This window comes from Homo sapiens, chromosome 9 (genome assembly GCF_000001405.40).
Source record: "Homo sapiens chromosome 9, GRCh38.p14 Primary Assembly".
Taxonomy (NCBI): Eukaryota; Metazoa; Chordata; class Mammalia; order Primates; family Hominidae; genus Homo; species Homo sapiens.
In genome coordinates this window covers 39,138,193-39,159,569 of record NC_000009.12, presented here as the reverse complement: position 1 = coordinate 39,159,569, position 21,377 = coordinate 39,138,193, and the positions used below count along the sequence as shown (strand labels likewise).

At 39.9% G+C, this 21,377-nt stretch overlaps 1 protein-coding gene and 1 pseudogene across 2 annotated transcripts in view; one reads left to right on the top strand and one right to left on the bottom strand.

Annotated features, from left to right (window-relative positions):
* Nucleotides 1-21,377, top strand: part of CNTNAP3 (contactin associated protein family member 3) — a 223,458-nt gene that overhangs the window by 128,598 nt on the left and 73,483 nt on the right. For both annotated transcript variants that reach the window (NM_001393379.1, NM_033655.5), the window contains exons 10-12: nt 9,593-9,764; nt 15,224-15,330; nt 18,932-19,051. In NM_001393379.1, the coding sequence (NP_001380308.1) occupies nt 9,593-9,764; nt 15,224-15,330; nt 18,932-19,051 (399 nt within the window). The remainder of the gene's footprint in view (nt 1-9,592; nt 9,765-15,223; nt 15,331-18,931; nt 19,052-21,377) is intronic.
* RBM17P1 (RNA binding motif protein 17 pseudogene 1) lies at nt 3,862-5,548 on the bottom strand (annotated as a pseudogene).

Sequence of the window (21,377 nt, the reverse complement as noted above, 5' to 3'; positions counted from 1 at the left end):
ACCTGAGATCAGGAGTTGAAGACGAGCCTGGCTAACATGGTGAAACCCTGTATCTACAAAAATACACACACAAAAAAAATTTAGCCGGGCATGATGGCAGGTGCCTGTAATCCCAGCTACTTGGGAGGCTGAGGCAGGATAATCACTGGAAAAAAAAATATATATATATATAAAATGTTTTTTAAAAATATATATATATATAATATTTTTAAAATATATATATATGACCAAAGAGAATAGTTTCAACAGAAAGTCAAAATAGCCAACACAGTTTCTGTGTTTTATTTTGTTTGGATTGTGTATGGCCTTCGAGTGAAGTAACATACATGATCATGAACCATATAGGGACACAGCGACAGAAATGGGAAGGCTGATCCATGATCATACATGCATACATAGGTACACTATGGATTCCAAAGTCCCCTTTGACCTGAAAGTGTGAGAAGAGCCCATAACCCATTTGAAACAGATACGCAGCAACCACAACCCAAATTGTATATGCATAAGTAAAGTTGTCCTTATTTCAGAGATGATATTATGGATTGAATTGTTTTCCCTCAAATTCATATGAACTCCAGAATGTGACCTTGTTTGGAGATAAGATCTTTGCAGAGGTAATCAAGTTAAAATGAGGTCATTAAGGTGAGCTCCAATCCAATATGACCAGTGTCCTTATGAAAAATGGAAATGGAGGTGCAGAGACACACAGAGAGGGAAGACGCTGGGACAACATGCAGGAACAACGCCTCAGGAAGACAGAGGCCTAAAGTGTTACACCTGCAAGGCCAGAGCTGTTTACTGGGTTCCTCCCTGACGCCACCTCCCACCTGGGGCTGAACCTGACCCAGACCTTACCACCCACTGCTGCTACACTGCCATAAATCCCTTTTTTAAAAAAATTAAAATATTTATTTGACAAATAAAAATTCTGTATATTTAAGGTATACTATGTGACGATTTGATATAGGTATTCACTGCGTTCTGATTACCACAGTCAAGTTGATTAACACATCCATCACATCACACATAGTTACCATGTTGATGGCAGAGGGGAGTGAAGTCATTACAAATCTGCTCTCTTACCAAATTCCAGGTAAATAACACAGTATCATTATGTATCACCATGCTGGATCATCATGCTGGATCCCTTTTGTTTCATGGGGTTGTATCACCATGAAACAGTATCACCATGCTGGATCCCTTTTGTTTCATGGGGTTGTTGAAAAAAGACTACAGATTAAGGACTGAAATGCATGTCTTCCAGATAGGCCTAAATAAAAGATCACACTCAGGAACCGATTTTAAATAGACCACCCTTTATGGAGCTTCCCTTCATCATTCTGCCCAACGGAATTTTAACAGTGCGAAATGAGTGCCGTTACCTTTTCCACTGCTTTATGTGCTGGTTTTATTGCACCATACAGGTATCCCCAGAGACTCGGCTCCTCTGGAGCATCTTATTGATTTCCCACTGCGGCATGAAGAAAGGCCATGCTTTGCCCAAAGTGCCTAATAGTTTTACTCAGTCGGTTATTTCAACTTATTTTTATTGCCCAGTAATGATGCAGTGAAACATTTTACCAAGTCAGGGAGCGCATCAGCCTTTCCTAGACAATAATAAACAGAATATTTGCCAGCTCAGTCAATGATTGAGTACAGCCAAGAGACACTGCAGCCTAAGAGAGGGCAGTCAGAGTGGGGAGGTCACAGAAGGGTGCAATAAATCTTCTCCCCAGGGATGTTTACTCAGAAAGTCCTTGGTCATTAGAAATGTCATTTAACTCTGTAAATAATAAGATACATTTGCTAATCAATGCTTGAGGTGCTTCTTGAGAGTATTAGTATAGTTTTGCATTTTACTATTTTTTTTTCCAGAATCCTTTTAAAATTATGTTGGAGACAGCACAATATGAAAGTAAAATTCGGCCAGGCACAGTGGCTCACGCCTGTAATCCCAGCACTTTGGGAGGCCTAGGCGGGTGGATCACAAGGTCAAGAGATTGAGACCATCGTGGCTAACATGGTGAAACCCCGTCTCTACTAAAAATACAAAAAAAAAAAAATTAGCTGGGCATGGTGGTGGGCGCCTGTAGTCCCAGCTTCTCAGGAGGCTGAGGCAAGAGAATGGCATGAACCTGGGAGGCAGAGCTTATACAGTGAGCTGAGACTGCGCCACTGCACTCCAGCCTGGGTGACAAAGTGAGACTCCGTCTCAAAAAAAAAAGTAAAATTCATCCCTAAAATTGGCTGTCAGCATGGAAATTATAAAACTCATTTTCTAAACTCTAACAGTCCTTCAGAGCAAACTTTCCACAGAGCAACTGTGAAAACAGACAATGTCAATCTGCAAAGTTTCTGATTGTTTTCTTTCCTCATATTCCGAGGTGTGCATATGTGCCTCAAATTGTATTAAAACATTTGCTATAGATGACAGATTTTATAACAAAAAACAAGCCAATATATCCAAGACCTATCATTTCAAAAGTAAAATATTTAGGAAGCACTAAAAGGGATAAGAATGAAAGTACTATTCATTTTTTTAAGTGATACTAAATAAAGTTGATTACAGAAAATGATTTGTCAAAGTATAAATATAGTATCACCTTTAGGGTTTAAATTCTACAGGTGAGATTTTATAACGTCCTGTTATTCAAGAGCCCATTTCCATAAATATATACATGCTAATGTGAGAAATGTTTTTGTGTTATTTTTATGCATATCATAATTTTATTCATTTTTACTGTGAAATAGATCATATATGTACAGTTAAAAATATTGCTAATTTTTCAAAAGAATGTATATATTGTTACATGAATATACCACATTTTATCAGTTCTACTGTCCCATTTTGCTATTGTTAGGCAATTTTCATTTTTGCTTTTAGATTTGCTTTATAAAATTTAGGGGGGTGGTGTTTCGTTGTTTTGCTTTTTTTTAGACAGGGAGTCACTCTGTTGCCCAGGCTGGAGTGCAATGAAGCAATCACAGCTCACTGCAGCTTCTGCCTCTCCAAGCTCAAGCACTTCTTCCACCTCAGCCTCTGGAGTAGCTGGGACTGCAGGCCTGCACCACCACACCCAGCTAATTTTTGTTGTTGTTGTTTTTCTTCGTATTTTGTAGAGACAGAGTTTTGCCATGTTGTTCAGGTTGGTCTGAGGTGATCCACCCACCTCAGCCTCCCAAAGTGCCAGGATTACAGGCATGAGCCACCATGCCCAGCCTAAAATTTAGTTTTTAAAATATTCTTAACATACCTAGTTTTTCCAGTGAATTTTGCATTCCTTGTGTGTGCTTTTGTAACTTTATTTACCCATCTGTATAGTAAACTTCGGGAAACACCAGCTCTAACCACCATGTTTAACAGCATAAGCTGGTTGTTAAATTTTACTGATGTATGTAAACCCAAAATAGATCATTTCTTCACATAGAAACAGCCTTTGGTTCCGCTAGTATTCATTACTCGTTTTAGTAATTTAAAGACCACATGACCCAAATTCTTCTTGAATGCTGTGCAGTGCACTGAAAGAGACTAATAAGCCCTTTTCTGTTTTCTAAGCAAATTTACTTCTTGGGATATTTCTGTTCATATGGTTTCCTATGACACATAGCATCACTAAGAGTCAAATAAGTGAAACTGAAAACATTAAAATTAATCCTGTAATCCAGTTTTAATAATGAGTTCGTTTCATTATGTTTCTTTTTCCTTTCCATTTGTTTTATACTGGCCTGAAGAAAACAGGCTTGATGGATAAAATCCACAGTATTTTCTTCCTAACTAGCTTATATATTTAGAATGGCCTGAATATGTACAGCTGCAGACACTAACTTCATTCCTACAGTATAATATCTACCAATGATTGAAACTAGTCAGCTGCACATTTTATTTATTTATTAAAAAGGATTTGGATTTTTATACAATATTTAAAAACCACAAAATGAAAAGGGATCAATCAACGTATACCTTGGAGGTCCTTCCAAGAGTCTCAGTATCTAACAGCCATGGAGGCTGTGACCTTTTTCCTTCTTTTCTCAGCCTGCTGGTCATTTAAGGGTCACCAGAGATGACTCATGCTCTAGTTCTTAAAATCAAACTTGTTCCACCAAATCCAAGATGCTGAATTTGTACAAATGTAAAAACATCCTCTTGCCACCTGTCCACCAAAATACCTTCTATTCAAGTGAACAACAGCTTTAATTGCTGACTCAACTCTCAAATTCTAAAAAGGTCTGTACTGCTTCATCATCAGGGACACCAAGAATTTCACATATCACACGTTTTCCAACTTTGCCATATTTTTCATGGCAAAATTGGGAAATACCATGGACTTTATCCATCAAGCCTGTTTTCTCTGAGCCAATATAAATTGACAATGGAAAAGAAAAAGAAACATAACAGAATGAACTCATTATGAAAACTAGATTAACTATACTCTTTTCAGTTTCACTTATTTTATCCTTAATGATGCTATGTCTCATAGGAAACCATATCAACTGAAAAATATGTCATCACACATTCTTCTCTGGTTTCAACTTCCAAGTCTTCTTCCACCTCCCCTTCACCAACCATGTTCCTTAGTAGGACCACCTTAGTAGGACTCAAGTATTTCAGTCAGTGGATTTGTACCTGATCCTTCAATGCATCTTTCTCTGCGGCGTCGCCCACGATGATCTTGCCGCCTGATCTGCTAGTCTTCCCCACCGGAAAGGCATCTCGCAGCCCCTGCAGGTGCTCCCCGAGGCCCCGGCCTTCCCGGAAGCCGCGCTTCTGCATGATGTTGTGCGCCACCGTTCCCACCACGTTAGCGAGGAAGGAGCTGCTAGGCCGGTTTGGAGATCTCAGTCTGTCCTGTTCCTCCTTCACTGGGGGAGGAATGGCTGCTTTGGAAGACCATGACTGAGGTCTTGAATCCTCTTCATAAGGAAAATCTCGGGGTGACTCTTGGTCTTTCTCTACCAGAGAAGTGGGAAGGGCAATGGCAGCTCCACCCTACTACTTTTCCTCCTCTCTCCCTCCTAATCTTCCCCTTCATCAGAATCTGGATTTGGTCGCCTTGATCAGAACTCCCCTAACTTCTTGCCTGTCTTCAGGCCTCTTTTCCCTTTCTTCTATTTCCTTTCATATTTCTAGCTCCTGCTGTGTCTGTCGTTCCTCTCTCTGGCACTTCACTACTTTCTCATAATCATAAGGGAACATAGGATCATATTCGTCAGCTAAGGGAATCAGAACGTCCCCTGCAAAAATCCACTGGGAGCAGGATCCTTCAGCCCAGCTGCTGCATGCCGTGGTGTGTCCCCAATTTGCAGGTCATCTGAGGAGCCGCCTGGCCTTAGGTCAATGACTGGCAAGAGCTGCACTGTTTCTAACTTTGGCTCTTTCCCTGAGTGAGAGCTGCCTTCCTCACCTGAAGCTGAGACTGCAGAAGTTTGATGTTTTGGAACCAGCCTTCTGCTTTTGAGTCACTGGTCTCCACTCTCAGGCCATCGTATGGGGGCATCTTTTTTTTTTTTCTATTTAATGTTGCCCTGCTGACTCTACCCATGGGTAGCCAGGTTAATATGAAGAAATGAAGAAGAAGAAAAACCCACCAATTTCCTGATGCCAGATAAATGGAAAATGTTATTTGCACCAAAGAAACCTTGAGAGACTTGGAACAATCACTGGTGGATGTGGATTTCTGGATCTCACTAGATTTATTTTAATAGAAAGTTTAGGCCAGACGCGGTGGCTCTCACCTGTAATCCCAGCACTTTGAGAGGCTGAGGCGGGTGGATCATCTGAGGTTAGTAATTCAAGACCAGCCTGGCCAACATGGTGCAACCTTGTCTCTACTAAAAATACAAAGATTAGCTGGGCATGGTGGCGGGAGCCTGTAGTCCCAGCTACTGGGTAGGCTGAGGCAGGAGAATTGCTTGAACCTGGAAGGCAAAGGTTGCAGTGAACCGAGATGGTGCCACTGCACTCCAGCCTGGCAACAGAGTGAGACTCTGTCAAGAAAGAGAGAGAGAGAGAAAGAAAGAGAAAGTCTAATTCGCAGATGCAGACTTACCTTCTGTACTGTCATTTGTCCATTCTTTTTTTTCTGGTCTGTGATTTCATCTTTTTGAAGTGTTTTTCAAGCAGCACTCTGTACGGTTGCAGGTTGTGCATATAGCCTGCATTTTTTTGCATTCATGCCTGAAATAGAGATTGACTGAAGGTCAAATTCTTTTAAACTTACCTTTATGGAATCTTTCTGCTATTCAATGCCATGCCTCCTTCCATGATATTGAGAATACAAAATTGACTGTTGTGTCGCCAGTCCTCACATCCTTCTTGTAGGAAGCTGCTAGACTGAGAACTTGTGGCAACATTGCATTGAAGTCTGTCACTGCAATAACACACAGTGACAATTTTCTTGCCAACCTCATATGCTTACACAAGTTAAAATAACCGGGCTAAAATTTTCATGGGTCTTAATATCTTTATTTGTTTGATTTCATATCCATGCAGTACTTTATGATTAGAATTTGTCCTGAAAGTTTCATAACTTTTTGTGGGACACCTGGATTTTAGTTTTTTTTTTCTAACAGAGTTATTGAATTCATTTTCTTTTAAGAATAACCTGGCTGGGCGCTGTGGCTTACACCTGTAATCCCAGCACTTTGGGAGGCCGAGGCAGGTGGATCACGAGGTCAGGAGATCAAGACCATCCTGGCTAATATGGTGAAACCCCGTCTCTACTGAAAAAAAATACAAAAAAAAAAAAATTAGCAGGGTGTGGTGGCGCGTGCCTGTAGTCCCAGCCACTCGGGAGGCTGAGGCAGGAGAATGCTGTGAACCTGGGTGGTGGAGCTTGCAGTGAGCAGAGATCACACCACTGCACTGCAGCCTAGGCGACAGCACGAGACTCAGGTCTCAAAAAAAAAAGATAACCTAAGTTATGTGTCAGGAAACACCACATGGTGAAAGAAAGATTAGCAGAACTGTTGATATTCCTATAATTCATTACTGGAAAATATTTATTGAATTAATAATCCTCTTAATTCTTAACTTAATGTGTTTATTTCTTAATGATTAGTGAGATGCAGAATTATACAAAGTTCACTCTCTATCCCATTCTTCAGAAGGTTCTGCTGTACCATTTAAACTTATATTTCTTTTGTAAATATAAAAATATAAAAGATTTTAGTCTTCAAACTTTTAAACAAATATGGTGTTAAATGTTAAACTTCCAAGTGTCTGTGAGGTTATGTATAGTTTCGATAAGCTAAAAAGAAGCCTTAAATATGAGGGAGGCTTTTACTTTAGAAATCTAAAGCAGAAAATATTAAAGTTAAAGAGATAAAGCTTCAGTTATTAAAATAGAAATCTAAACACAACATTTAATTTTTATGGAACTTTCAGGGAGGAAATAAGAGTACAGGCATTGAGGGGTGCTTCATTTATTCCAGTAAGAGGAATCTTCATTGACTATTTTTTGAAATTGTGCTAGTGATTAACAGTATAAGGTCAAAGAGAGGTCAATGAAAAACACATAAGTACAAATTCTATACTTCATTTTTTTCATTTTAGTGAACACTGTAAAGAAAACTCAATCCTCTAGTGATAAATATTGATGTATATTTACTATAATCTTTGGAGAAAAGGGTATTTGCGTGGACTCAAAGTGTCATGCCAATATTAGGTTTAATACCTAATATTTGAATGATTGGGAAAAGAAAGTAAGAAATTATATCTCACAAGTTTGAAAGAGACAATACTTACAGAATCAATATAAGCAGGCTTCTTTTTTAAAATAAGGCAAAGGATAAAATTTTTAAAAGCTATATAATTTCATAATATACAATTTAGTTATTCAATTTCTCTTGTCATTGGCATTACACCATTATGAAATGAGGTGCCTCTTTCATATTTGTATGTTAAAATTAAGTATTCATTTAGATCAGAGGTAGACAAATCACGGTCTATGGCATATTATATAAGCCGAAATGAATAATTGCTTTGTATTTTTATTTATTTATTTTTTTTTATTTGAGAAGAAGTCTCGCTCTGTTGCCCAGGCTGGAGTGCAGTGGCGCCATCTCGGCTCACTGCAAGCTCCGCCTGCTGGGTTCACGCCATTCTCCTGCCTCAGTTTCCCGAGTAACTGGGACTACAGGCACCCACCACCACGCCCAGCTAATTTTTTTTTGTATTTTTAGTAGAGACGGGGTTTCACCGAATTAGCCAGGATGGTCTCGATCTCCTGACGTCATGATCCGCCCGCCTTGGCCTCCCAAAGTGCTGGGTTTACAGGCATGAGCCACCGCGCCCAGCCCTGCTTTGTATTTTTAAAGGGTTATAACAAGAAGGACATGCAACAGAAACCAGGTGTGACCCACAAAACCAAAAGTGTTTACTATCTGCGTTTTACAGAAAACCTTTGCAGACTCCTGACTTAGACAAATGCCTTATGATTTTATTCTGAATTAATATGACTCTTTCTACAAACAGTTGTCTTTAAATAAAAAGATTTTACAGTTATTGTGTTTTCTTTAACTAGAGTGTGTACTTTCATCCTTTTCCTTACTTTTCAAACTTACAGTTCCATTATTAGGTTATATATTGTAACTCAGAGGGTGGGAGTAAGTTCAAGACACTACTTTCCTATATGCTTGGACTGGTGTGGAGTAATACTGCTTACGTCAAAGTCAGGCACTCACCACTGCTTCTTATAAGTACTGTTCTTGTTTCACAAAACAAGCCCACATAGTAAAGGGAAGTGATGTCATAAGCATTGCCATTTGTAATTTAGGTGAAATTAGCTGACGGTTGTAGTGAAACTTTTAATATTTAACTTCTAATATTGGAAATAATCAAATGTCTATTTTATCTCTTTCTATTCATAGAACATTCTGGACTGCAAATTTTTATCCTTATGTACCCTAACAGTGTGTTAGGTCCTGTTACTTTTTGTGTTGTTGTTAACATTAGAATTTAATCTTTAGTTATATATTTGACTAAAGTACCTAATACCAAAGAAAGTGTTACTAGAAAAGCAAATCTAGGTATTTCCACCCAGTCAGTATAAAAAAATACGTTTTTAAATACTCCCAAATATACATACATCGCAACACACAAAAACACCTATAGGGTAGATATTTAACATATTTTAGATAAATGGTAGTACACAATTATATTTTCAGGTAGCATTTTTCACATTTCACAGCATATCCTAAATAAAATTTGGCCTATGATTTCATTTATTTTAATTTAACCTCCACTTTAATTTTTTTCACTTACACTACATAATGCTAAAATGCATGATTATTTCTTAGATGAGATTTCACAAAAGAAGCCAAACCTCTTTTCACTTGGTTGGGAAATAATTCCTGTTATAGGAATTTTAGATCTGAATTTTCCCCCATAATTTCTTATTCTGAATTCCAGGTATTATCTTAAATTTGATCAGTTCTAACCTTGCCCCTTCTCACCTCTCTAATGAATGGTGAAGCTCATCGCATCATACCGATGTCCATAAACAAGCGGGAGCAGCAGTCTTCATATAGTAAATACTGTGGAATAGTTTTGTCATAGTTGTTGCTTTTGTCCTATTTTTGTCTTCATATTTAGGCTGCCTGGACAACAGCTCTGGCTCTGGATGTAAAAGCCCCCTGGGAGGGTTTCAGGGCTGCCTAAGGCTCATCACCATTGGTGACAAAGCGGTGGATCCCATCTTAGTACAGCAGGGGGCGCTGGGGAGTTTCAGGGACCTCCAGATAGACTCCTGCGGCATCACAGACAGGTAAGGGCCATCCTAGGTCACTTTAGCTTGCCTGTTTTCAAAGTTGAAGAAAGCAAATGTAGACAGCTGGAAAAAGGCATTCCGTTCTCTTTTTTGTTGTTGTTATCTTTCGAGAGGGAATGAAATAGTCATAATTACTATGAGGATTAGAAAACTTCATCTTGGCCGGGCGCGGTGGCTCACACCTGTAATGCGGCTGAGGCTGGCGGATCACGAGATCAGGAGATCAACTTCATCCTGGCTAACATGGTGAAACCCCGTCTCTACTAAAAATACAAAAAAAAAAAAATTAGCCAGGCGTGGTGGCGGCCACCTGTAGTCCCAGCTACTGGGGAGGCTGAGGCAGGAGAATGGCGTGAACCCGGGAGGTGGAGCTTGCAGTGAGCAGAGATCGCGCCACTGCACTCCAGCCTGGGCGACAGAGCGAGACTGCGTCTCAAAAAAAAAAACAAAAACAAAAACTGCATCTCTAATGGAATAAATAGCATTTTTTAAATGATAGTATTTTATTAGAAGACATACACCTTATGAATTTTACCTTAATATGATCCCAAGTTGCTCAGCTAATAGTTATCAAGCTCGCTTTTGCAACCCCACACCCATCAGTTGGATGATGTTTTTCCAGGCAGAGGAATTTGCCAGGTTACTATTCATCAGCCACCCAACCCCACATGTTCTGCAGAGAAAATAAAAAGTAATTTCTGCTAGAAAAGTTTGAATCATAAAGATGGATGAAGATGTGTGCAGAAGGACATAATGAAATATGGAGGTTAGACAAGAAAAACATTTAATTCAAATAAGTATTACAACCACAGTTATGCTAGCTGTGCCATAATTTTACAAAGATTTTGGCTGAGAAGAATCATAGGGTCACACCTGGAAAAATAATATTTCTACATACAGTTTGCCCTAGTACATTTGGTATTTACTTTCAGTGAATAAATAAATGCTACAGATTTAAAAATTAAAAAGTGATAATCTGGCCCGGCGCCGTGGCTCACGCCTGTAATCCCAGCTCTTTGGGAGGCCGAGGAGAGCGGATCATGAGGTCAGGAGATCGAGACCATCCTGGCTAACATGGTGAAACCCCGTCTCTACTAAAAATGCAAAAAATTAGCCAGGCATGGTGGCGGGCGCCTGTAGTTCCAGCTACTCGGCAGGCTGAGGCAGGAGAATGGCGTGAACCGTGGAGGCGGAGCTTGCAGTGAATGAGATCGTGCCACTGCACTCCAGCCTGGGTGACAGAGCCAGACTCTTCTCAAAAAAAAAAAAAAAAAAAGTTATATCTGCATCTGGTAGAACTTTCAAAACCTGCCTTCTTCATGGAGTAAATTCAGTTAGTCAATTCTGTTTTAAACATTAACTGTAAAATTATCCTCTCTGGCTAAACAGGTTTTAATTTATAACTCATAGTTAGTGACATACTAAAAAAACGTAATTACTACTAAATGAAAAGTTCATTCATATGGACTGTATTTATTCAGCATGGAATAATTTCCCCCTGTGAACATTCTGTTGATTTGTAGGAAAAATGAATTAATTCAAAGATGAGGAGTATATGAAGTGCAAGAATTTGTCAAGTACCTCTCATTCTTGACCTTGAGATTTGAATTCTTGGCACACAGCTGGGACTGCATTTATATCTCAACACCAGCTCCAGAACCCCACTCTGTAGTCGTGGGAAGGGTAGTTGGGAAGGTTTCTGGCCATTTGCTCACTTAATATAATCCCAAGTTGCTCAGCTAACTAGCCAGGGAGCTCAGCTCTCTCTGAGTTAAGGGGTAATGTCCCATGGGCCCACACTGTGAGTGACAAGAGCTGTCAGCTCAACTGTGATGCAAGTGTGATTTTCTTCACTTGTATGACATTATTTTGATACCTTGTTAATTACTCACAAAATATGATCCATTTGCAGTGTTTCTGTTATGAGATATATATCGTGAGGCTGCCTCTTTTCAGAGATGATCCATGTTGCCTGCTTTGTGCATGTAGCTCCTAAAGTACAAAACTATTGTTTTTACTGTTATAGGCTGTTTTGTTTTAACCTTAAAGTCCCAAGAGTTACATTGGTGCCTAACTTGGTCTCTAAGATCCCACATTTTAAAAAGGCCTCCAAATTGTACCCCAAAGTTACTTGTAAACATGCTCAACTAAGCATGTATGTGTGAGCCACACTTAAACTTCAGTCATGATGTGTACAATAATCATTGCAGATAAGGGTTTTAAGAAAGCACTTTTAAATTATTTTCAAATAGGGCTACAAATAAAGGCTATTTACTATTTCATTCCCAAAGTCAGTAACGTAGAAGACTAGCTCCTCTGAGATTATTTTGAAAACCTGAATTTTATAAAGCAATAAAATTAGAAAACTTTGGGGACACAAAATGACATTCTACAGAGTTAAAATTAAATACCTTTGCTGTTCCCTTTACATTAAGTTTTGAAAACCTGAAAATACTGAAAATTCACTTTTAAGTATCCTGAAAACAGGCCTGTAAGCATGTCAGCCTTTCTTTGTTGTTGTTAACAAACAAACAAAAATCTAATTGTATTAGTCTGTTCTCATGCTGCTAATAAAGATATACCCAAGACTGGGTAATTTATAAAGAAAAAAGGCTTAATGGATTCACAGTTCCACATGGCTGGGGAGGCCTCACAATGATAGCAGAAGGTGAAGGAGAATCAAGACACGTCTTACATGGCAGCATGCAAGAGAACCTGTGCAGGGAAACTCCCCTTTATAAAACCATCAGCTCTCGTGAGACTTATTCACTATCATGAGAACAGCATGAGAAAGATCTGCCCACATGATTCAGTTACCTCCCACAGGTTCCCTCCCATGACACGGTGGGAATTATGAGAACTACAATTCAAGATGAGATTTGGGTGGGGACACAGCCAAACCGTATCACTAATTCACAAAGTAGAAACATATGTTACTCAAATACCAGACCTAAAAATCCTACTTAGGGACAGATAAGGGGTATGAAGTTATCTTTTTTAGTCAAAATTTTAAGCTACACAAAAAATAGCAATGGGCACTTTGGATGACAGAGTCACAAATAATGGATGTTTATGTTTGGATAGGTGTTTGTTTGTTTGCTTGTTTGTTTTTTTGAGACGGAGTCTCGCTCTGTCGCCCAGGCTGGAGTGCAGTGGCACGATCTCGGCTCACTGCAAGCTCCGCCTCCTGGGTTCATGCCATTCTCGTGCCTCAGCCTCCCGAGTAGCTGGAACTACAGGCGCCCGCCACCACACCTGGCTAATTTTTTGTATTTTTAGTAAAGACGGGGTTTCACCGTGTTAGCCAGGATGGTCTCGATCTCCTGACCTCGTCATCCACCCGCGTCAGCTTCCCAAAGTGCTGGGATTACAGGCGTGAGCCACCACACCCGGCCAGGATAGGTTTTAACTTCTTAATCACCTCTTACATCAGACTGCTGTACTCTTTTAAGGTTTGCCCTGTATACCACATGGCAGAGCTTCCAATGGAGTCCTGTGCTGCATTCCAACTGGGGCTCCCTGAGCAGGGAGGCCTCCGTCACCTCCTCACCTGGCTGTGCTGACCAGGCTGCTGACCCCACTCCTGCCCTCCCTCTGCCATCTTCCCCTCTGTTGGTCTTCTGCATGCTAGCTACTTCCTCTATTATTTGTACTACGTGTAAATTTTTCACAATTCATGTTGTGTTTAGTTGAAGAAAAATAGTGTATACTTGTTGGTAGTCTCTAGATCACTTAAATAGTTCTTATTTCCAAATATTTTGAACTAAAGTTATTCTCTCCCTGTTGATATCAAACAGCAGTGGTTTTTAATGTTTTTTAAAATTTGTGGAATCTTCAAGTCAGGTATGATCTTAAGATGCTCCATTATATTAAGAAGGAAGGGGAGGAGAGGGAGAAGGATGTGGGGGAAGAGGAACAGCTGCTCTTTTAAAAATGGTATGAGGGTGGGCCCCCACCCCAGCCAACCTTGCCTGTCACTCCAACTGCCCCTCTTCTGATCAGTTCACACAGGCTTTTCCATGCCTTGGCCTTTGAAATACTTGAAAAGTTGTGATTCTCATGGCCCCTAACTCTTCTCTGAATGCAGACTAAATGCTCATTAACACCATGTAATTATGGAAGTCTTGGCCCTGAGCTGGTGGTGCAGTGCTGGAGAGCCAGGATAGGGGGCTGGGGGCATGGGGAGGGTAGGGAATGCTGCGGATTCTTCCCAGCCCCTCAGGTTCCCCTCAAAGGACCTCTCCCGAGGCCAAATACAGGCCCCTGGGGCTTTCTGTCAACTTCATACCCCAGTTCTCTGCTGGTCGTCCTTCCACCACAGCCAGGAGGCCTGTCACAACCTCCCGGCCCCTCTTCTGTTACTTCTCTGGGTCCCATGGTGAGGGGCACTTGGGTGCTCCCCGCCTCTGCCGCTCCAGCATGGACTATGATGTCCCTCACGGCCTGGAAGGTCAGTGTCCTTTAGAATCTTCACTCTTTACCAGGTCCTTAGCTGTGTACTCAGCAGTGGGAGACAGCGGCCAGAGGCTGAGATCCAACCCTGCTCAAGGCAGAGGTGGGTCATGGTATTCAGGCCAGGCCTCCAGAAGGTCACACTACCTCTTGGTGACACTCTGTGTCAGGTGCTGGTCAGTTTCCATAGTGTACCCTGCTCCCTGTTCCCCTAACAATCCTGAGAGGCAGGCATGCTAGGCCCCCAATATTATAGTGGGCGGCAGCAGATTCCAAGAATTCTGAAAGTGTGAGACCTCCAACTGTTCTTTTTCAAGATTGTTTTGGCTAGTTCAGGGTCCCTTGAGGTTCCCTATGAATTTTAGGATGGATTTTTGTTTTCTGCAAAAAAAGGCATTGGGATTTTAATAAGAATTGTATTGAATTTGTGGATTGCTTTGGGTCATATTGACATATTACCAGTGTTAAGATTGCTTAAAAAGCAATAACCGACTGCTTATTGCAAATCTAAAAGGTGACAAGATGACCTAAATTAAATGTTCTTCAAAATTTCTGAACCTCTGTCACTATGTGACTGAAGCTGTTCCTGTTTCTTTCTTCTCCCCTCTGTATCTTCCTCCCTGTTTCCCCTTCTTTCTTTTAAAAATGACCACAATATAGTAACGGAGCATGCCATATTTCATAGTTTTATGTATGTAATTGGTTTTGCTAGCCACATGTCAAGTTATTGTGTCACTTGGGACAAAGAAAAAAAGAAATGTGTTGAAAATTCAGCTGTCTCAGAAACCTAATAATCAGCTGCATGCTAATGGATATATTTATCTAAAGTTTGTCAATATAATTAGAGAACCTTGATGGCAGACCCAGTAATCACGTCATGTGGGGTTATCTTGCATATGCTGCTCTTTCACATTAACCTGTTTTTGGTTAACCTGTTTTTGGTAAGACACTTATTTTTTGATGATTGAAAAAGGGAAACAGCAGTTGTATCTGTTTTCTTTTAGGTGCTTGCCCAGCTACTGTGAGCATGGGGGCGAGTGTTCCCAGTCGTGGGACACCTTCTCCTGTGACTGTCTAGGCACAGGCTATACGGGCGAGACCTGCCATTCCTGTAAGCCTCACGCCTCCCTCTCGTTTCTGTCAGCATCTCTTTGTCATTTCATTTTGATTAGTTGTTTATATGTATCTGCATATTTGCAATCATGCAAACACATCAGAAGAGATATTTCAGCACTCAATTTCTAGTTTACTTTTAATCCACCTTATTTAATACAAGGTGTTGAGACAGTGCACAGAAATACGTGGTACGCATAGGATTGAAAAAAAGAAACTGGCAAGCAATGGGGAAATAAGTCTAGGAGAATCAGATATAGTAAAAGGTAGAAACTAAATTAAATTAAAAATGCATGATGTAACAGCTTGTTCCATTACTTGAGTTGGACCATACTTTTAATTCTGAGAATCTTCTCAGTCAAAGAAAGGTGGAAAAACAACCCCTTGCCAGGCTGTCAATGCTACATTTAAGGTATTTAAAGATTTTTTAACAATCACTGGGATGATGCAATCATGGGATTGTACATGGTAAGATTTTTGAAGAGGTAATGGGATATCAGCTAGAAACTAGAGGACCTTTAAGATCTCTTACAATGACTGTGATTTTCTTTGGTGGTGGTGATGATGATTGTAAAGTGAATAAGTGTAAAAGTATTAATGTATTGAGTACTTATGTCAGCCCTCTGCTATTGCTTTGCATATATTAACTCATTTAACCCTAAAGAAGCTCCAGGAAGAAAGTACTCTTATTATCTTCATTGCAGAGTTGAGGACAGAAAGAGGTTAAGTAACTTGGCCCCCAGCTAGTTTGTGGGAAGATGAGGAGTTGAGCTAAGGAGGTTGGCTCCACAGCCTTGGCTCCAGGATGCCTGATTGGTGGTCCATGCACCAGCAGCACCCACAGCCCCTGGGAGCCTGTTGCAAGTAAAGACTCTCAGGCCTTACCCAAACTTACTAAATCAGAATCGCTGGAGATGGGGCCCCGAGTCTCTTGTAACCAACCTTCCTCATGCTTCTGGTAGACATTTAAGTGTAAGAACAATGTCTAAGGGATGGCATATTCTAACACTTCTCAACTGCCTCTGCCATATTAAAAATCATCTGTCTTTACTGAAGAATCACCCTCTGAATTTCAAAGGCCATGCCATTTTATTGACCTCTAACCTGTTATAATTAGAACATCACAGAATCTGAAAAGCCTTTTTTTTCCTATTTGTTTTTAACTTTTAAAGTTTTCTTTCTGTATATCTCTACTGACGTTTCTGAGCAACTTCTCCTCAGGAATATTTCGCCCATCCCTGGGTCTTCAAGGAAACAGAGATGCAAAGTCCTCAGTTCCACTTGCTCATCCTGAGTTCCTAATTGAAACTTTTAAGAACTCTTCCGTGAGACATTTGATTTTCACAAAAGCCACAGGAGAAAGGCAGGCTGTGGAGTGTTAAAACCACAGTTCATACATGGAATGAGAATTCTGCGCTCCCAGTCCTGAGGTTCTGTAAAGGATCTGGGCAAAAGAGGAGACAGTCCAGGAGTGACTCTCACAGATTGAAGCATGAAGTATGATTTTTGTACTAGAAGGGTCCCTGTTTATAAAGCCGTGACACATTTTCTTTTTTTTTTTTTTTTGAGACGGAGTCTTGCTCTGTCGCCCAGGCTGGAGCCCAGTGGCATGATCTCAGCTCACTGCAAGTTCTGCCTCCCGGGTTCACGCCATTCTCCTGCCTCAGCCTCCCGAGTAGCTGGGACTACAGGAGCCCACCACCACACCTGGCTAATTTTTTGTATTTTTAGTAGAGACGGGGTTTTGCCATGTTAGCCGGGATGGTCTCGATCTCCTGACCTTGTGATCCACCTGCCTTGGACTTCCAAAGTGCTGGGATTACAGGCATGAGCCACCATGCCCAGCCGCTGTGACACATTTTCTAGGAGTTGAGTGGCCTCTCACACCAGAGGTTGAATGTCTTGATAAGGTCATAGAGTTGGTGCAGGGAGTACATCTTTTACTTCTGTGTATCTTTCATCCTCCAGGCATAGTATCTTACCTAAAAGCAGAAGCCTAATCTTGTGTGTTACCTGGCAAATTTATATCCACCACCACACTCAGCATCATCTGATTGCATTTAATGTTGCAATTAATCAATGAGTTATATTAGTCCATGGTTATTCACTGCAATCAAAATATAACTCCAAAAACTTCTGAGGGAAAATATCAGGAGATTGAAAAAGTATTTCAAGTGTCAGTCTCATCTAATAGTTGACGGCTATAGGTAGAAATTTGCCAAGTCCACAGTCATTCACTGTGAGACTAGACTGCCACACCTAGTTGAATAGGTTATTTTGTATTTCTAATTGTATAACATGTATCAATTATGTGCAACTAATTAATTGTATATAATTATTAATTGTATATAACTCATTAATTGTATTCAATTGATATATACTATACATTAATACATGTGTACATTATCATTTAAAAAGCCAAAAAATTCACATAAAGCACAAATTCTAGTCACTTTCCTCAATATTTGTCTCCATTCCAAACCTAGTCTGTGCCCTATATTTAAGTATTGTTATTAATTTGAGTGAATCCTACCAGACATATACAAATATATGTATCTATTTAAATCAATATGCCATAAGTGGCAAAAAAATAAAGATTAGCAATGTCCATCTCCTGCAGATATTAATTCCATACCTTGTACTTGGTAAAACATTTGCTTGCACAAATGAAAATATTCAATTATGCTAGAGTAAATTTACATTATATAGGGATATCTTTCAAAAAAGTTTCTCTCCTGTTTTGAATTTCAGCTGTCTTGAATTGTCACTTGCAAAATACTTAGGGAAGTTTCTTTTTTAAATCAGCTTTAATTATTTTTTAATGATGAGATGTTGATAGCTTATAAATTCTATTTATCTCTTTAAAATGCTCATTCATATTGTTTTAAAGGAAGCAAAGGGTATAACTGCCGCATAGCTTAAGAAAAACTTTACAGAATGCTTATGGGAAAATACCAGATTATTTAGGCAGTTTAATGTGCTCAGGTATTCAGTTATTACAGGGTGAATGAGGGTTTCTTCCTTAATTATAGAGTTTAATTCTGAGGTATAGTTGCCATGAGTTTGAAAAGAACCATGTTTCAATAGCACGCAGAATTCAGATTCACAAAGTTTTCCTCTCATATCTCTTCAAGTGTTTTACACTGTGCTTCAGAGTTTGCATGCTTTCTTGCCTAAAAGCAAAAGAAAACATTTATGTAGAGAAACTACAGTCTCTAGACATTGCCAAAAGATTGTCTATTGAAGATAGTATCGCATTCCCACTGTAAGCACATCTTCATGTTTGAACACCAACACAATCTTTCCTTCTTCCTCAAAATAGAAATACACTGTGACCAAATATTTATTCAGCATCTAACAACATCCAACATTTGAATGTATTTTGACTAGGTAATTTTTTTCTCCTTTGTTAATAAAAATAGATTTAATTTTTTAAATGTCATTTTTTTGCATCTCATCAAATATACTGTCATACACTATCAAAATGATGTTGGGTCATATGTATCACATGTCTGTAATTCAGAAATGCAAACCTTTGGACACTGACTCAACATCTGGAGATATTTTTTCTGGTTCTTATGGCTGGTGTTCTCCTACAGCTCTCTACGAGCAGTCTTGTGAAGCCCACAAGCACCGAGGGAACCCGTCTGGGCTTTACTATATTGATGCAGATGGAAGTGGCCCCCTGGGACCATTTCTTGTGTACTGCAATATGACAGGTATGTTGATAATCGTTATATGCATATATCAGAATAGACCAAGGAGAAATTTACCTAGTTGGCAGCATTATTAAAACATGCAGTTTGATAGTGTGTACTTGCTAAGTAGAAGCATTAAATATATATTTATTAATTTTGTTGTCAACAAAATTTTCTTGTATTTCTTGTTTGCCTGGGTTGGATTATAGGAAAGATTCAGTGCTCTGCCAAGGCATCTCTCTAGCTCCTACACTCTTCGTAATACATCTGTTCATGTGCATCATGAAAAATACAAACCTCTGATTCGGTAATTTACATGCTTTCTGTATTTAGAAAAAACAGAGGTCTTTAAAAGTGCTAAGAAATAACATAGATATGTTAATGTTCTATGTGCATCTTAAATAATTTAGTGATTTTTATGGCATATAATTTTTTCATAACCAAAGAAACTTGATTATTTCTCGTGCTTTAGATATTAGAAATGAACACTGCTTGGGCTGGGCATGGTGGCTCACGCCTGTAATCTCAGCACTTTGGGAGGCCAAGGCGGGCAGATCACGAGATCCAGAGATTGAGACCATCCTGGCCAACGTGGTGAAACCCCATCTCTACTAAAAATACAAAAATTAGCTGGGCATGGTGGCACCCGCGCCTGTAGTCCCAGCTACTTGGGAGGCTGAGGCAGGAGAATCCCTTGAACCAGGGAGGCAGAGGTTGCAGTGAGCCAAGGTTGCGCCATTGCACTCCAGCCTGACGACAGAGCAAGACTGCATCTCAAAAAAAAAAAAAAAGGAAAAAAAGAAATGAACACAGCTTGATTATAGAAGATTGCACTAGAATGCCTTTTAAATAGTTACATTTTTACAGAAATTTGTTGTCACCTAGCTCTTCCAACTCTCTGCAAAGTGGAAATCTGGAATAAACTGTTCTCATTTATTGTGCTGACAAAAGGTTTCAAAAGTTTCATAAATTTGGACAATAACCAAATGGGTCAGCAAGCATCAAGGAAAAAGAAACAAATAACTGAAATTACATGGGCATTTAAAGTGCCTTAGCAAAGATTGCCAAAAAGTAGTAAAACTTTACAGGGGACGTTCAGAAGATTCAGAGCCACCTGCACAGCAATGTGCTGAAGATAAAGAAACACAGGCGTTCTGCCATAAGATACCAATTACCTCCAAAATCCCCTGACTCAAACAATGAAAGCAAAGTGAGAAATCCCATAAAAATGGTCTTGGTGGATATCAAAAGACTCAACCAAAGTCACAACCAGGAAGGACCTTGGTTGTCATCATTTTAAGATGAGGAAACCAAGGCTCAGAAAAGTTGGTTAGGGAAGTATCTACTGACAAAATCTAGCTAATGATAGGGGAATCACTAAACTCTGGTCTCTTTTCTGCCCTAGAAAATGTCACCTTCTCTTTAGATGCCCCATTGCGCTATAGCCAGTAATAAATTCTCTAGTTGTACAAATCAAGCAATAATGATTATAAAATGTGCAATTTCAAACTACTCTAATAGCTTGAAATGTATATATGGTAATAACCTTCAAAAAGCAGTTGCTTCAGAGCTTGGAAGTCAGCACTCTGTCTTAAGAACAAGTAAAAAGCCAGGCAAACTGAAAAATCAACCAATTTTTTTAGATCCAGCAGAGAAGTGAGGTCACAGAACAAACCACTGCCCCTCAAAATTGGAGAGACAGGCAGGCTTATATACAGAATGACAATTTTCTTCCACAAGCACTAACCTTTGGGGAAACCGTTGTCAAGGTAGGAAAACCTAAACTTAATTGACGAATTGTTGGATGTTCGATGTGGACACATCTGAGAGTTAAAAACTCCAGGAAGACCCAGACAGAGAAGGGTCCCCACACTTCTGTGAGTTTGACACCTAGCTTGACCAGGTTCTCACAGTGAATGTTGGAGAAAAATCTCCTCATGCTTCCAGAAAGGGAAGGTGAAAAGGAACCATCTTGAAGTACACCAGAGCTTTCTGTTCTTCTTAACAAGGTCTTTCCTCAAGGGCAAATATTTCACCTAAGCTACTGGTGTTTTGTTTTCTTGTTTTGTTTTGTTTTGTTTTGTTTTTTGTTTTCAGAGCCTAACCTGCCTGGAGGAAGGAAATTACCCACCTCTGGCCATCCTGTCCCCAAGTAAGGGTGGTGATGGGAGGGAGGGCTGAGAAGCTCTTGTGAAGGTCACAGCCCAGAGGCTAAGGCTCCCTAAAGGACTCAGACCTAATCACAGGGCTATAGAACCTTTCCCCTTCCCACACATGTTACTTATAGTACTGCAGGCCTCTTTACAGCAGTTACAGTTACTTTTACCTGGTACATCACATCTGGTTA